Raw genomic sequence first — 16,371 nt, forward strand, 5'->3', positions numbered from 1 at the left:
CAGGATAAGCGTCGTTGGGGCAGGTCCTGGGTAGAGTCCAGGTTGGCGGGTCCTGGGGCGGAGTCAGGATAGGGCGATCCTGGAAGCTGGGCTTCAGAAGCGTCCAGGTTGGTGGCGTCCTGGAGGCGGTGCCTTGCGTGTGGGCAGGATAAGAGTCCTGGAGGCGAGCATTAGAGCGGGGATAAACGCCATTGGGTTCAGGAGGCGGGACTCAGAGCAGAGCCCAGGAGACAGGTCTTAGGGTGGGGCTAAGGCCAGACCCAGAGAAGGGCTCAGGAGGCGGGGCCGGGGCGGGGGGTTGACTATGTCGTAGCACATGGCCAGGCGGTGCGCGGACTCTGGGAGGCAGAGCTTTGGACGGGCCGACGTGGGGAGGGGCCCAGGGTCCAGGAGGCGGGGCCGAGTCCGGGCTGCCAGCTGCGCTCAGGAGGCGGGCCCTGGGAGGCGGAGCTTAGGGAGGGGCCGGTGTCGGGAGGGACCCAGGGACTGGGAGGCCGGTCGGGGCTGGGCTCAGGGGCCGAGACCTAGCTGGGCTTGGGGCGGGGCCGAGACGGAGCGAGGGATCCAGGGTGTGGGAAACGGGGAGGGGTTTGAGGAGGGGATCGGAATGTGGCTCAAGTTGGGAGGCGTTACCTGCGGAGGGTTTGAGGCACGCCCAGGAGCGAGCCCACGGTCGGCCGACGCGGGGCCAGGGGCGGGCCCCAGGATCCGGAGCTTCGGGCGGGGCCGAGTCTGGGTTTGGGGCCCGGGAGGCGGGGCCAGTTAGGGCGAGGGTCCCTGGGATCGTCGGGTCAGGCCTTGGGCTAACGTAGACACTCTCGCAGTACCTCCGCCTTCAGGAAGGTCTTTTTAGCAGGGGCCTTACAGGTGCACGCTTCGGTCCTGGAGGCCTTATCCTAACCTCTCCATCAGCGCCACCCGTCTGGGGCCCGAAAGGAGGGAGCTTTCCCTCTGTCCTCCAGCCTTTGGACTGTCTCCAAACAAGCCATTCGTTCACCAAATACTTATTAAGCACCTACCATGTGCCTGACAAGGGAGATGTAACGGTGAGAAAGACTAGGTGTGGTCTGGGCCCTCCAGAGGCTCAGGGGCTCGTGGAAGAAGTGGACATTGAAGTACTTATCACACAAATGAGTATAAAAGTACAATAGCGATATCTGCCACAAAGATGAGCAGACAGAGCTAGCGGGGCTTGCAGGAGGAGTTTTGATCTTGCAGGGACAGGAAAGAGGAGTTAGCTCCTGCGGGGTGGGATGGGGGGGTGGTGGTGATATAGACGTGGGGACAGAGTGGAAAACAACAAAAATATAATTATTTTAGTTCAAAGTTATTGTGTCTTGAGTTGAAAGGCAGGGCAGTTAGCAACACAGTTCAGATTTCAGTACTGCCCCCGAAATCTGAACTGTGTTCAAAGTCTAAAACGTTTACCTTAGCAAATTCCTCATAAAACTCCATTTGGAAGAGTCTCGAGAGCTAATTTGTTAAGTATACTTGCAAAAGGTAGATGAGGAGACAGATAAAATCTTATTACCTCTTTCAGATGAGAGGCACTTGAGCCCTGCTCAGCTATGAGAATAAGAGAGGGGAATTAATTCGAATTGAATACACTTGTTCTCTTATAGCTGTTGTTCCCCACCAGAACCAAATGAGCGCAAGATCTGACAAAGAAAAAAAAGGTTCATCTTTTATTCCCCCAAACACTTTCATTTAAATCAAGAGGATGGGATGTGGTTATTGCTGTGTTTTTAGACAGAATCAACGGTTTCTGTGTCTGAGATGTTGCATACACCCTCTCAGTCCCTCTATCCTGAGATGGAGTCACCTGAGGATCCACAGCAAGTCCTAACCAGGGATGGGTCTGGGTGATTAAGGAAGGTTGGCTTCAGAACTGGGCCAGGGGCACTGCTTTGCTTTTGCTGTTTTGATCAGCTCTCTGCCTGCAGGAGACAAGGAAAACCAATGGGAACAGGTTAGCTATACTCATAAATCTTGGGCTTATTTTATTAACTCACATAATAGCTATTAATTGTCTTTCCTCCAAGGAGCAAAAGGGCATATACGGTCAATGCCATAGTAAGTAACACTGTATTATGTTATACTAAAATATTAATAAATCTAGGTTGGTTCAGTCTTTCCTGAGTCCATAGATTGGAAGCAGATTGAGGAAGGACGCTAGTGGACCACAGAGCTGAGCCATGCACACAGAAGAAATCTTTTTTTCTTTTTTTTTTTGGAGACGGAGTTTTGCTCTCTTGTTGCCCAGGCTGGAGTGCAATGGTGCGACCTCGGCTCACTGCAACCTCCACCTCCCAGGTTCAAGCGATTCTCCTGCCTCAGCCTCCCGAGTAGCTGGGATTACAGGCATAAGCCACCCTGCCGGGACATTTTTGTATTTTCAGTAGAGACAGGGTTTGAACACGTTGGCCAGGCTGGTCTCAAATTCCTGACCTCAGGTTATCCACCTGCCTCGGCCTCCCAAAGTGCTGGGATTACAGGCGTGAGCCACCGCGCCTGGCCAGAAGAAATCTTTATCTTGGTGTGCAGTCTCTGGTGAGGGACAAATGTCATCTCTCTTGGATCTGAATCTGGAAGGATAAAGGCACTGAAGGGATTTTTTTGTTTCAGGCAGTCTCCTTCTGTTGCCAGGCTGGAGTGCAGTGGCACGATCTCAGCTCACTGCAACCTCTGTCTCCCGGGCTCAAGCGATTCTCCTGCCTCAGCCTCTCGGGTAGCTGGGACTACAGGCACGCGTCACCATGCCCAGCTAATTTTTGTATTTTTAGTAGAGACAGGGTTTTACCATGTTGGCCAGTATGGTCTCAATCTCTTGACATCATGATCCACCTGTCTTGGCCTCCCAAAGGGCTGGGATTACAGGCATGAGCCACCATTCCCGGCCTCACTGAAGGGATTTTTTTAATGTCACGTGGCTCTCACAGGTGCTGTGTGTTCGGGTGCAAGTGAAGATTACGACTGATGCTTAAAAACAAACGTAAAATTCCAGGTGGTGTTGCTATGGGGAGCAGCATTAGGACAATCTGAGTGGTTTCAGTTGCAAGAGTGTGCGTGTACGTGCAAGAACTACAGTCAAGATTCAACTTCTGGCTTTCAGGGTCTCTTTAATAATAGTAATAACAACCTAAGGCAGTTTAACAGTATGGAATGGTTGCCTTTTAGAAGTTAAGCTATGGGCATGGAAGTTTCAATCAGTACATTGAAGTTTTTCTTTTATCTCTCCTATGGTTAATGGTTTCTGTAGAAAAGGACCAGTTGATTTCTTTCTAAAACGTTGCTTCAGGGTGTAGAGACCTTTATAGGTCATGTTTCAACTTACAGAAAATTTTTATAGTTCAAATATAAATTACGTTCAATGTGGGCTTTGTAATAGAATTTAAGGTTAAGTAAAGTTTCCACTTTCCTTAGGCTGTTTGCAGTGCCCAGCAGGCCCCATGATATCGAGATGGAAGTTATGTTAAAGGAGGAGATTGGTCAGGGATGGGCAGAATAAGGAATATGGGCAGCTCAGGCTAATGATACAATGATTGAGATGTAGAAAGAAGGCCAGGCACGGGATAATGTCTGTAATCCCAGTGCCTTGGGAGGCCAAGGCAAGAGAATCGCTTGAGGTCAGACCAGCCTGGTCAAGAGAGTGAGACCTAACCTGTACAAAAAAAAAAAAAAAAAATTAGTTGGGCATGATGGTGTGCGCCTGTAGTCTCAGCCACTTGGAAGGCTGAGGTCAGGGGATCCCTTGAGCCCAGGAGTTTGAGGCTGCAGTGAGCTATAATCACATAACTGTACTCCAGCCTGGGTGACAGGGTGAGGCCCTGATTCAAAAAAAAAAAAAAAAAAAAAATGGGTCAGGGAAAAAGTTGGAAATCTTAATCCTCGGTACCCAGGAATGTGACCTTATTTGGAAATAGGGTCTTTCTAGATGTAATCAAGTAACGATGAGTCATCCTGGATTGGGGGCTGCTAGTGAGGGGGCAGATGCAATGACTGGTGTCCTTATAAAAGAAGAGAATGAGGGCCAGGCATGGTGGCTCATGCCTGTAATCTCAGCACACTTTGGGAGGGTGACGTGGGGGTATCATTTGAAGTCAGGAGTTTGAGACCAGCCTGGCCAATAATAACAATAAAAAAGCCATTTTAGATTCTAATCCACTGAAAGAAAACTGTCCCTTAGTTAATGGCATGCTTATTGGATCCATGAAGTCTTTGAAAATTTAAACGGCAAGGACACTGCTCTCTGTGGTGGTGGAGAGAATACCAAGGATTTAAAGGTCTTTAAGAAAGAGAATGTAGAAAGCGTACCCATTGGAAACAGCAAGATGATGATAATCGTACTGACAGTAATAATAAGTTCAAATATATAGAGCTTACTATGTATCATGAATTGTTCTGAATGCTTTATAAATATATGTTACCTCCCTTACCCTCATGGCAGCCCAGTAAAGGCTCCATTCCCCATTTTACAGCTGGGGAAACTGAGTTACAGAGCTTTTCTGCACTGAGTCATCAGGAGCAAATGCTAGATCAGGTAATTGAACCCAAGCAATCTGGTTCCAGAGCCAAATAGATGTATTTTTTATGGTATAAAAACATATACATACATTTTTAGGGGAAGGGTGGGGGTAGGATGGGATGAGGATTCTGGGTAATTGCTTGGTAAATGCCAAATACCTTTCTTGTCTGTCCCTGTTTTCAAATGATAAAGTAATGTCAATTGCAACTTTTTTTTTTTTTTTTTTTTTGAGACAAGGTCTAGCTGGAGTACAGTGATGCAGTCATAGCCCACTGCAGCCTCAAATTCCTGGGCTCAAGCGATCCACCCACATCAGCTTCCCAAGTAGTTGGGACTACAGGCCCACACTACTGTGCCCAGCTAATTATTTTAATTTTTGTAGAGATGGAAGGTGGCGGTGGGGGGGTGTCTCGCCATGTTGCCCAGGCTGGTCTTGAACTTTGACCTCAAGTGAACCTCCTGCCTCAGCCCCACAAAGCTCTGGAATTATAGGTGTGAGCCACTGTGGCTGGCTACAATACTATTTATTTATATTTTAGACCAAGAGATATTCTAGCATATAAGAAATGTGATGCTCTCTGTAAATTGAAGAGTTGGTCTAATATTTCTCCTGGTGGATACAGAAATTGCCTGTCTGCTCCGCTCTGGTTGAAGAAACTAGTCCGACTGTCTCTGAGGCTATGGAGCAGTCCATCGAGAATGAAAGCCCTCGGCCAGGCACGTTGGCTCACACCTGTAATATCAGCACTTTGAGAGGCCGAGGCAGGTGGATCACTTGAAGTCAGGAGTTCGACACCAGCATGGCCAACATGGTGAAACCCTGTCTCTACAAAAAATAGAAAAATTAGCTGGCCCTGGTGATGCGTGCCTGTAATCCCAGCTACTCAGGAGGCTGAGGCAGGAGAATCACTTGAACTTGGGAGGCAGAGATTGCAGTGGGGAGCTGAGATCACACCACTGCATTCCAGCCTGGGCGACCGAGCGAGAGTCTCTCAGGAAAAAAAAAAAAAAATGAATGTCCTCATGATGGCCTCAAGCACATTGGTCCCTGAAGAGAGTCAAGGAAGGCCCACTGCACTGCAAAGCAGGCAGGTGGACAGGAATCTGAGAAGTGGATTCAGTGAGAGGCATTGACCCAAAGGATTTTCTGCCTAATGGTCGGTCCAGCAGAATATTAAACTGAGCACAGCATCCTGTTCCCTGAAACCATCTGGTTGGTCAGTGGGGAATGTTCTTGTCTCGTTAAATGTCCTCATGCTACTGTCAAGATATCCTGTTACAAAACGTCATAAACCAGGTTTACAAATAGGCCAGGTGACTGTGGAATTTCTCCTTGGCAATGCCTTAGCTATGGGCGTGCGATTAGTGTGCAATAATCACAGTGTTCCGGGCCACTTGAGGGATAAAATATACCTTAGGTGATTAACTGTTGTATTTTAATGTGAATATTTCCACCAACATTAAACAGTAACTCCATGAGTTTTCTCATACCTGTTACACTCTGGAGTTGCAACAAGCTGACATGAAGCAAGTTGCAAACATAATTATCGTATTTGGCTCCTATTCACAGCAAGGGTTCTTCAAGCTGTACGTGGGGCAGTCTTCCCTCACATGAGGTTTATAGCATCATTTATTTAATTATTTATTCATTTTTTGAGACGGAGTTTCGCTCTGTCGCCCAGGCTGGAGTGCAATGGTGCGATCTTGGCTCACTGCAACCTCCGCCCCCCCGGGGTTCAAGCGATTCTCCAGTCTCAGCCTCCCGAGTAGCTGGGATTATAGGCACGCGCCACCACACCTGGCTAATTTTTGTATTTTTAGTAGAGACAGGGTTTCACCATGTTGACCGGGCTGGTCTCAAACTCCTGACTTCAGGTGATCCACCCGCCTCAGCCTCCCAAAGTGTTGGGATTACTGGTGTGAGCCACAGCTCCCGGCTATAGCATCATTTAAACTTTGTTTCTGCCATGAATTGTTAGTTGGTAGTTAACAAAAAATAGACCACCTCATTTATGTCTCACAGTTAGCATTGGTTTTTGTGTTTTCTTTAGGCTTGTTTTTTAGTTGTTTTTAAAATTGTGAAACAGGGTCTTGTTCTGTTGCTGAGGCCAGAGTGCAACAACACAGTCTTGGCTCACTGCAGCCTCAACCTCCTGGGCTCAAGCAGTCCTCCCACTTTAGCCTCCTGAGTAGCTGGGACTACAAACACGAGCCACCACCTCTGGCTAATTTTTAATTTTTAATTTTTTTTTTTTTGAAATGGAGTTTTGCTCTGTCGCCCAGCAGGTTGGAGTGCGCTGGCATAATCTCGGCTCACTGCAACCTCCACCTCTCGGTTCAAGCGATTCTTCTGCCTCAGCCTCGGCACCCACCACCAGGCCTGGCTAATTTTTAAAAAATATTTTTAATAGCGACAGGGTTTCACCATGTTGGCCAGCCTGGTCTTGAACTCCTGACCTCAAGTGATCCCCCTACCTCAGCCTCCCAAAGTGCTGGGATTACAGGCGTGAGCCACCACGCCAATCCTAATTTTTAAATTTTGTGTAGAGACCAGGTATTGCCATGTTGTCTAGGCTGGGCTTGAACTCCTGGGCTCAAGTGATCCTCCTGCCTTGGCCTCTCAAAATGCTGGCATTACAGGCATGGCCCTTATGTCTGGCCCTTAAAGCTGCTTTTTAATAACAGCTTTATTGAAAGATAATTCATATACCATACAATTTACCCATTTAAAGTGTATCATTTGGCCGGGCATGGTGGCTCACACTTGTAATCCCAGCACTTTGGGAGGCTGATGTGGGAGGATCGCTTGAACCTAAGAGTTTGAGATGAGCCTGAGCAACATGGCAAAACCCTGTCTTGACCAAAAATACAAAAAAATTAGCTGGGCATGATGGTGTGTGTCTGTAGTCCCAGCTAATCAGGAGGCTGAAGTGGGAGGATGGTTAGAGCCTGGGAGGTGGATGGTGCAGTGAGTTGAGATTGCACCACTGCACTCCAGCCTGTGCAACAGAGCCAGATCCTGTCTCTAAATAAATAAATAATGTGTATATTTCAGTGGTTTTTAATATATTCACAGAGTTTTGCAGCCATCATCACCATCAATTTTAGAAATTTTAATTACCCCAGAAGAAACCCTGTATCCATTAGCAGTCACCCCTTATTTCTCCCCGACTATCCCCACCCCTGGCTCCTGGCAACCATTAATCTACTTTCTGTTTCTTTGGATTTTCATATTCTGGGCATATATATATATATATATATATATATATATATATATATATATATAATCATCTAATATTTGTCTGGCTTCTCTCACTTAGCCTAATGGTTTCAAGGTGTATCCAGGTTGTAGCATGAATCAGCCCTTCATTCCATATTTTGGCTGATTAATGTTCCATCACATGGGTAGACTGTATTTGTTTGCCCATTCATCTGTTGTTGATAGGCATTTGTGTTGTTGCCAACTTTTGACAATTATGAATAATTTTGCTACGAGCATCTGTGTGTGTCTTTGTATGAACAGGCTTGCATATTTTTTGATATGGGCAAATGAGAACCAGCAGCGGGGGGCCTCTGTAGTGACTGTTTTGGTGATCTTTGTGTACTCTGTATAATGATCAGCCACTCAGGCTTGGGGGCAGCACTTAACCTTACATTTCTTTCTTTTTTTTTTAAGATAGGGTCTCTCTCTCTGCCACCCAGGCCAGAGTGCAGTTGACGCAGGGCAGGGGAGCCCCGAAGTGGAGCATAGTGTGTCCGGAACTGGTGGGTTCTTGGTCTCACTGACTTCAAGAATGAAGCCGTGGACCCTCACGGTGAGTGTCACAGTTCTTAAAGGCGGCGTGTCTGGAGTTTGTTCCTTCTGATGCTCGGATGTGTTCAGAGTTTCTTCCTTCTGGTGGGTTTGTGGTCTCGCTGGCTTCAGGAGTGAAGCTGCAGACCTTCAAAGTGAGTGTTACAGCTCTTAAGGTGGCGCGTCTGGAGTTGTTTGTTCCTCCCATTGGGTTCATAGTCTCGGTGGCTTCAGGAGTGAAGCTGCAGACCTTCGAGGTGAGTGTTACAGCTCATAAAGGCAATGTGGACCCAAAGAGTGAGCAGCAGCAAGATTTATTGCAAAGAGCAAAAGACCAAAGCTTCCACAGTGTGGAAAGGGACCCCAGTGGGTTGCCACTGCTGGCTGGGGCAGCCTGCTTTTATTCCCTTATCTGGCCCCACCCACATCCTGCTGATTGGTCCATTTTACAGAGAGCCGATTGGTCTGTTTTACAGAGAGCTGATTGGTCTGTTTTGACAGGGTGCTGATTTGTGCATTTACAATCCCTGAGCTAGATACAAAAGTTCTCCAAGTCCCTACTAGATTAGCTAGACACAGAGTGTCGATTGGTGCATTCACAAACCCTGAGCTGGACACAGGGTGCTGATTGATGTATTTACAAACCTTGAGCTAGATACAGAGTGCCGATTGGTGTATTTACAATCCCTTAGCTAGACATAAAGCTTCTCAAAGTCCCCACCAGACTCAGGAGACCAGCTGGCTTCACCAAGTGGATCCCACACGGGGGCCACAGGTGGAGCTGCCTGCCACTCCCACGCCCTGTGCTGGTACTCCTCAGCCCTTGGGTGGTTGATGGGACTGGGCGCCCTGGAGCAGGGGGCGGTGCTCATTGGGGAGGCTTGGCACTCATCAGGGAGGCTCAGGCTGCGCAGGAGCCCACGGAGGGTTGGGGGGAGGCTCAGGCATGGTGGGCTGCATGTGCCGAGCCCTGCCCTGCAGGGAAGCAGCTAAGGCCCTGCGAGAAACTGAGCAAAGCAGCTGCTGGCACAGGTGCTAAGCCCCTCACTGCCTGGGTCCAGCGGGGCTGGCAGGCCACTCTGAGTGCTGGGCCCAGTGAGCCCATGCCCACCCGGAACTCGCGCTGGCCCGCAAGCGCCACGCCCAGCCCCGGTTCCTGCCCAGGCCTCTCCCTCTACACCTCCCTGCAAGCTGAGGGAGCCGGCTCCAGCCTCGGCCAGCACAGGAAGGGGCTCCCACAGTGCAGCGGCGGGCTGAAGGGCTCCTCAAGTGCCGCCAAAGTGGGAGCCCAGGCAGAGGAGGCACCGAGAGTGAGCTCGAGGGCTGCCGGCATGCTCTCACCTCTCAATAGCACGTGAGCGTTCTTGTCTTTACCCAAGAAAGAATTCAAGGGCAAGCCGGAGGTATAGAAGAAAACAGCTTTATTGAAGAGGCAGCATTACAGCCCTGTGACTGCTCCTGTAGGGCAGGGTTACCCTGGAGGCAAAGAGTAGCGGCAGAGAGTTTGCAATCACATTTATACCCACTTTTAATTGTATGCAGATTAAAGGGCAGTTTATGCAGGAATTTCTAGAAAATGGGTAGTAACTTTTGAGTCATTGGGTCATTGCCATGGAAAGGGGCAGTAACTCCCGGGTGTTGCCTTGGCAATAGTCAACTCACATAGCACACTGGTGGGCATGTCTGATGGAAAGCTGCTTCTGCCCCAGCCCTGTTTTAGCTAGTCCTCAATTTGGTCTGGTGTCCAAGCCTCGCCTGTGGAGTCAAGTCCTGCCTCCTATCTCACAGTGGCGTGATCATGACTCACTGCAGACTCAACACCCCCGTGCTCAAGCAGTTCTCCCACCTCAGCCTCCTGAGTTGCTGGGACCACAGGCACGTGCCACTACGCCCAGCTACATTTTTTTGCATTTTTTGTAGAGATGGTGTTTCACTGTGTTGCCTAGGCTGGTCTCAAACTCCTGGGTTCAAGCAATATACCTACCTTAGCCTTCTAAAGTGCTGGGATTACAGGTGCGAGCCACTACACCCAGCCCAAACTTACATTTTTAATCTCAAGTCACTTCTCTCTAGGTTTTGATTTCTTCTTTTAAATAGTGGAACTAAGAGCCTCTATTTTATAGGGTTGTTGGGAAGACAAAAATGAAAGAACTGCTATTCAATGTTTAGTGAAGCGCTATGCACAATTTTGAATAATGAAGTTGGTGTTTATTTTTTATTATTTGTTTATTTATTTTTTAGAGACGGGGTCTTGTCTGCTGCTCAAGCTGGAGTGCAGTAGTGCAATCACAGCTTCGTGCAGCCTTGACCTCCTGGGCTCAAGAAATCCTGCCACCTCAGCCTCCTGAGTAGCTGGGACTACAGGCATGCATCGCCATGTCTGGCTATTTATTTATTTGTTTGTTTTTTGTAGTGTTGGGGTCTCCCTATGTTGCCCGGGCTGGTCTTGAACTCCTTGCCTTAAGCAATCCTCCTGTCTTGGCCTCTCAAAACACTGAGATTACAGGTGTGAACCACCATGGCCAGCCTTATTTTTATTTTTAAATCAGCCTTGTCGAGTTGAATTGGTCATTAATCTTGTATAATGGTAATTTGGGGCAGCATTGGTTGGGCGGGGGGTGGGGAACATTTAGGACCCTGTGGGCTACAGCTCGTAGCGTGGGCACTTATTTTATTTTGTTTTGTTTTGTTTTGTTTTATTATATTATATTACATTATATTATATTATATTATATTATATTATATTATATTATATTATATTTTTTTGAGACAGTGTCTCACTCTGTTGCCCAGACTGGAGTGCAGTAGCACGATCTTAGCTCACTGCAACCTCTGCCTCCCAGGTTCAAGCGATTCTCCTGCCTCAGCCTCCAGAGTAGCTGGAACTACAGATGCGCACCACCACGCCCAGGTAATTTTTGTATTTCTAGTAGAGATGGGGTTTCACCATGTTGGCCAGGCTTGTCTCAAACTCCTGACCTCAGGTGATACACCTGCCTCAGCCTCCCAAAGTGCTGGGATTATAGGCGTGAGCCACCGTGCCCGGCTGTGCTCTTATGTTTGATTTTTGCAGAACCACCCTTCCCTAATGGATGTCTCCTAGATCCAAGGTGACTTTATTCATTTTAGAATGAACTTACCCCATTGATACTGTAACCAAAGTTGGCATACATCACGATTGGCAGAACCCGGTCATGTTTAGCGAGATGGAAGTGTTCTGGAAACCCCTCCTTCTTGTAGATGTGGAGGTGAGGGTACGCATTCTTCAGTGCCTGGTAAAGGGCTTCCTCTTGCCCCAATTTGGGCAGGGGCATCCCAAAGCCACCGTAGCCCACAATATCAAACTTGACCAAGTCCATAAACTTGATGTAGTTGGACAAGGGATCTTGTTGACATTGGGTCTCTTCTTCACGGTGGTCATCCCATGGTCTCATGTGATGATGACGCTGAGGTGTTCTGCAGGCTGTGCTTCTCAGTGGCTCCCACCAGATACCTGATGGTCCTGTCGATTTGCTGAATCATCAACTTCCTATTCTCTGCCTCTGGCCTGAATCGATGTCCCACGTTATCTGGCTCTCTGTAACACAGAGTCACAAAGTCAAAGTCTTCCTTGGTGAACCAGTTCATGACAGTATCGATGTTCGCACTCCGCTCTGTCTCGTTGCTGTTTGGGTGAGTGTAGGACTCCACCAGGGACTGCTTGACAGCCTCACCCTCGTATTTAGCACCTCCCCTGGAATAGTGGGATGATGCTGCTTTGTTGCCCTGCAAGTACAAGAAGAAAATTCCGTCAGGGCCATTTATCATACCTTTCTCACAATCAGCAAAGCTCGAGTTGTCTACATCTGTGCCCCAGTCCAAAGACATAGAAAATATGTGGTCTTTGGAGTCAGACAGGGTGGAGTTAGATTCTGGGCTTCCCCAGGATCTCATAGCATCTACAACACTGTTAGTTACAAGATGTGCTATTATTTTATGGGCTACTAAGCAGAAAAATGCTGCCAACGAGACCGTGACTTACCAGTGATTGTAAGGTGTATTCCAACTTCAGAGATGGCAAAATGAAAAATAATTCCTTAGAATAGAGGGAGACGGTAATTTCTGTGTTGTTGGTGGTGAATTTGTGCATGTGTGTTTTTTATATATATACATATATATATATATATATATATACACACACATATACGTGTATATATGTGTATATATAGACATACCTATATACATATACATATATATGTGTATATATGGTGCTGCAGTGGTACAATCATAGCTCGTTGCACCCTTGAACTCCTGGGTTTAAGCGATCCTCCCACCTCAGCCTCTTGAGTAGCTGGGGCCACAGGCATGTACCACCATACATATATATATATATATATATATATATATTTTTTTTTTTTTTTTTTTTTTTTTTTTTTTTGTGACACGGTGTCACTCTCTCACCTAGGCTGGAGTGCAGTGGCACGATCTCAGCTCACTGCAACTTCTGACTCCTGGGTCCAAGCAATTGTCCTGCCTCAGTCTCCCAAGTAGCTGGGATTATAGACACGTGCCACTATGCCCAGCTAAGTTTTGTATTTTTAGTTGAGATAGAGTTTTGTCATGTTGGCCAGGCTGGTTTCGAACCCCTGGGCTGAAGTGATCCACCTGCCTTGGCCTCCCAAAGTGCTGGGATTACATGTGTGAGCCACCGCACCTAGCCCTAATTTTTTTTTTTTTTTTTTTTTTTTTTGTAGAGATGAGGTCTCGCTAATTTGCCCAGGCTGGTCCTGAACTCCTGGGTTCAACTAATTCTCCTGCCTCAGCCTCTCAAAGTGCTGGGATTACAGGCATGAGACACCACGCCAGGCTGGTGGTGAGTTTTAAAATTTTCCAGTGCCTCAGTGTTTCTACCTGTAGAATGCCAAAAAGTAGATGGCATCTTTGCGAGGATGAAGCCGACTAGCTTTTTTTAATTTTTTTTTGAGACAGAATTTCTCTCTTGTCACCCAGGCTGGAGTGCAATGGTGTGATCTTGGCTCACTGCAACCTCTGCCTCCTGGATTCAAGTGATTCTCCTCTCTCAGCCTCCAAGTAGCTGGGATTACAAAGCCAGCTAGCTTTAAGATACAGTGTTGGGCATCACATTTTGGCACGGAGCAGGCACTCTTTTCTTTGCCCTCAGGTGGGACTTAGCCACCACAAGCCTTCCCTGGTGTGTGCAGTGGGTGATGAATGCTTGCCTGCTCAGCACCCACTACATGGTGGGCTGGGTCACATTACTCTGACTCCCCCTTGAGCTTCAGTCCGTGCCTGGTTCAAGATGTATTGACTCAACTCGAGGATCCAGAGGTGGGATGTGGCTCTGGCCTGGCCAGAGGACCGAAGATGCTGCATGCCATGGCTACAGCAACTGGTTCAGCTTTGGGCTCATGTCCTAGTCAGAGCCAATGAGATGTAATCTTGGGATATCTGCTGGGCTGTTGGGAAGGGGACAGGCTGCCCTGCTCATCCCCATTCCTGATGCTGAGGGATCTGAGAAAATCACTTGTAAAATTCGGGGGTGTTTGGAAGATGGGGAGACTGATGTCTCCTTCTCTCTACAGACATCTGATCAGCTACAGAGCTTGACTGACCTACCCAGAGGCAGAATGATATGGTGGTTAAAAGTGTGCCCTGGGCCGAGATCTTGCCACTGCACTCCAGCCTGGGTGACAGAGTGAGACTCCATCTCAAAAGAAAAAAAAAAGTGTGCTCTGGGCTGGTCGCAGGAGTTTATGACTGTAATCCCAGCAGTTTGGGAGGCTGAGGCAGGAGGATCGCTTGAAGTCAGGAGTTTGAGATCAGACCCTATCTCTAGAAAAATGTTTTAAAAATTAGCTGGGTTGGTGGTGAATGCCTGTAGTCCCAGCTACTCAGGAGGCTGAGGCGGGAAGATTGCTGGAGCCCGGGAGTTCAAGGCTGCAGTGAGCCATGATCAGGCCACTGCACTCCAGTTTGAGGGACAGAGAGAGACCCCATCTCCCTAAAGCACAAAAAAGTGTGCTCTGGTGCCACACTGCCTGGTTAGATCCTTTGTCCACCACTTAGATGCATGTTATATAAATGCTCTCCTCAGTTTCCTCATCTGTAACTTGGGGATGATAATGCTGCCCCATTAAGTGGTTATGGGGACTAAATTCATGTGGGCGCATTGGTAAGTATTCAACAAGCTTGATTTTTTCCTGGAGAGGGAGAAAGAGCATACAGTGAAGTGGCATGCTCAGGTGCATTGGGGCAAGGATTATTTCCTCTGGCTTCTGCCTCCTGGGAGGTACTAAGGATGGATCTGAAATGTGTCTGCAGACCCCAGAGTTGGGGACTGCAGAGGGAAATTGAGATCAGGGACCCCAGTCTGGCAGAAATGGGTGCAGCATGGGGCATTGGGTTCCTTCCATCAGAGGCATGGGGTGTGTTGCAGACAGTCATGAGATGTGGCTGAATCTTGCAAGGGAGCTGCAGTCCTAGGGTTGCTGCTTGAGACAATGACCGCTGTCAGTGGAACCTGGTGACCTTCACCCTTCTCTGTCAGGCTGCAGACAGCAAGAGATGGCAGGAGGTTACACCCAACAGGAAAAGGGCCATTGCTATCCCACAGGTTGCCATAGGAGGAGATGACATCTCTTCCCTCTCCTCCTCCAGCAGTGTCAGCTGGGGAAGAGGTGGGTGGGGGTGCACAAAAGAGTAGACCACAGACCATGCTCCTTCTCCTCCAGTCTGCTGGGGCCCCAAGAGAGTCTGCAGCCCTTGGCCAGGGACCGGCTGATACAGGAGAACAAAAGATCTCAGTCTGGGATAACATGGTGGTGCAGCTGATCCTCTGGAACTCCCTGTGAGATCAGACTGGAGCCAGTCTCCAGCTGAGACCACATCTCACTTAGCTCCTTCCCTGCCATATCCTGTTTTCCTTACTCCTATCTACTGAGAGTCCTGAATGAATTACATGCACTCAATCCCTGCCTCAGGCTCTGCTTTTAGGGAACTTGACCTAAGACAGATATCTTAGTACTAAATACTTTGCAAGGCCTCAGAAGCTCTGCTATCCACAGGCAGGTGAGATATTACCTTCCCTACCACCTGGCAGTCATAGTCTATGATGCGATTCAGCTTTGTGGAAGTGCTTCTGTAAAGAACTTCCCCCAACTTAAGATGATCTTAATTTGCTTACTTGTTTACTGTCCATTTAGCTGCTGTAAAATGTGAGCTCCAAATCAGTGGTCATGTCTGGTTAGTTACCCATTTCCTGGGACCTAGAACGGGCCTAGCTCAGAGCATGTGCTCACTATTGATGGAATGCATGTTGAAAGAACGCATGAATCTCATCTCCTTTTGTGGGTGAAAAACTCATCCTATTCTCACTCCTGATTAACTTTCCTTCTTTTTTTTTTTTTTTTTTTTTTTCAAAACGGAGCCATGATCTGTCACCCAGGCTGGAGTGCAATGGTGTGATCTCATCTCGCTGCAACCTCTGCCTTCTGGATTAAAGCAATTCTCCTGCCTCAGCCTCCCGGGTATCTGGGATTACAGTTGCACGCCACCACACCTGGCTAATTTTTTGTATTTTTAATAGAGACAGGGTTTCACCATGTTGGCCAGGCTTGTCTTGAACTCCTGACGTCGTGATCTGCCTGCTTTGGCCTCCCAAAGTCCTGGGATTACAGGCATGAGCCACCGTACCCAGCCACTCTTGATTAACTTAATGGAAATATTTACAGAGATTCTTTCTCTTCTGGGTTCTAGCGTCTTATCTGTAACCTCTGCAGGTAATACATTTTCCTTCCTGATAAAAGCATTTCTATGGTTGCTTTTACTTGCAAATCCTCTAATACTTATTTATTCCATTTCTGATTGGCATTAGACATAATTCTCAATTTTTAGTGACAGCACTTTTGTTAACTTACATATCAATCGACTTTGCCTTGAAATGTGACATTGACTAGAAGGATGAAACTTCTAACATGCTGTAGAACATAGTTTCACTGGCTAACTTATTATTTAGAAGAAGCTAATATTGCCATTATGAGGGACTTAGGTGGCT

General features: G+C 47.7%; 1 long non-coding RNA gene and 1 pseudogene across 3 annotated transcripts in view, besides 3 other annotated features; one reads left to right on the forward strand and one right to left on the reverse strand.

Moving 5' to 3' along the window:
- Window positions 2-16,371, forward strand: part of LINC02018 (long intergenic non-protein coding RNA 2018) — a 76,870-nt gene continuing 60,500 nt past the window's right edge. For 2 of the 3 annotated variants that reach the window (NR_151706.1, NR_151707.1), the window contains exons 1-3: window positions 2-107; window positions 8,202-8,340; window positions 15,904-16,096. This is a non-coding gene — a long non-coding RNA (long intergenic non-protein coding RNA 2018). The remainder of the gene's footprint in view (window positions 108-8,201; window positions 8,341-15,903; window positions 16,097-16,371) is intronic. The other variant, NR_151705.1, reaches the window with a different exon arrangement.
- Window positions 36-215: an enhancer, noted in NCBI's record as "active region_20104". NCBI's record gives its function as "activates an Ori minimal core promoter by ATAC-STARR-seq in GM12878 lymphoblastoid cells {active_cell/tissue: GM12878}" and the evidence as "EXISTENCE:reporter gene assay evidence [ECO:0000049][PMID:35858748]".
- Window positions 286-715: a silencer, noted in NCBI's record as "silent region_14536". NCBI's record gives its function as "represses an Ori minimal core promoter by ATAC-STARR-seq in GM12878 lymphoblastoid cells {active_cell/tissue: GM12878}" and the evidence as "EXISTENCE:reporter gene assay evidence [ECO:0000049][PMID:35858748]".
- Window positions 8,841-9,385: an enhancer, noted in NCBI's record as "H3K27ac-H3K4me1 hESC enhancer chr3:75493298-75493842 (GRCh37/hg19 assembly coordinates)". NCBI's record gives its function as "activates a minimal SCP1, AML or CMV promoter by ChIP-STARR-seq in naive H9 embryonic stem cells {active_cell/tissue: H9 hESC(naive)}" and the evidence as "EXISTENCE:reporter gene assay evidence [ECO:0000049][PMID:30033119]".
- Window positions 11,459-16,371, reverse strand: part of ENPP7P2 (ectonucleotide pyrophosphatase/phosphodiesterase 7 pseudogene 2) — a 44,439-nt pseudogene continuing 39,526 nt past the window's right edge.

The sequence above is a fragment of the Homo sapiens genome, chromosome 3, assembly GCF_000001405.40.
Source record: "Homo sapiens chromosome 3, GRCh38.p14 Primary Assembly".
NCBI lineage: Eukaryota > Metazoa > Chordata > Mammalia > Primates > Hominidae > Homo > Homo sapiens.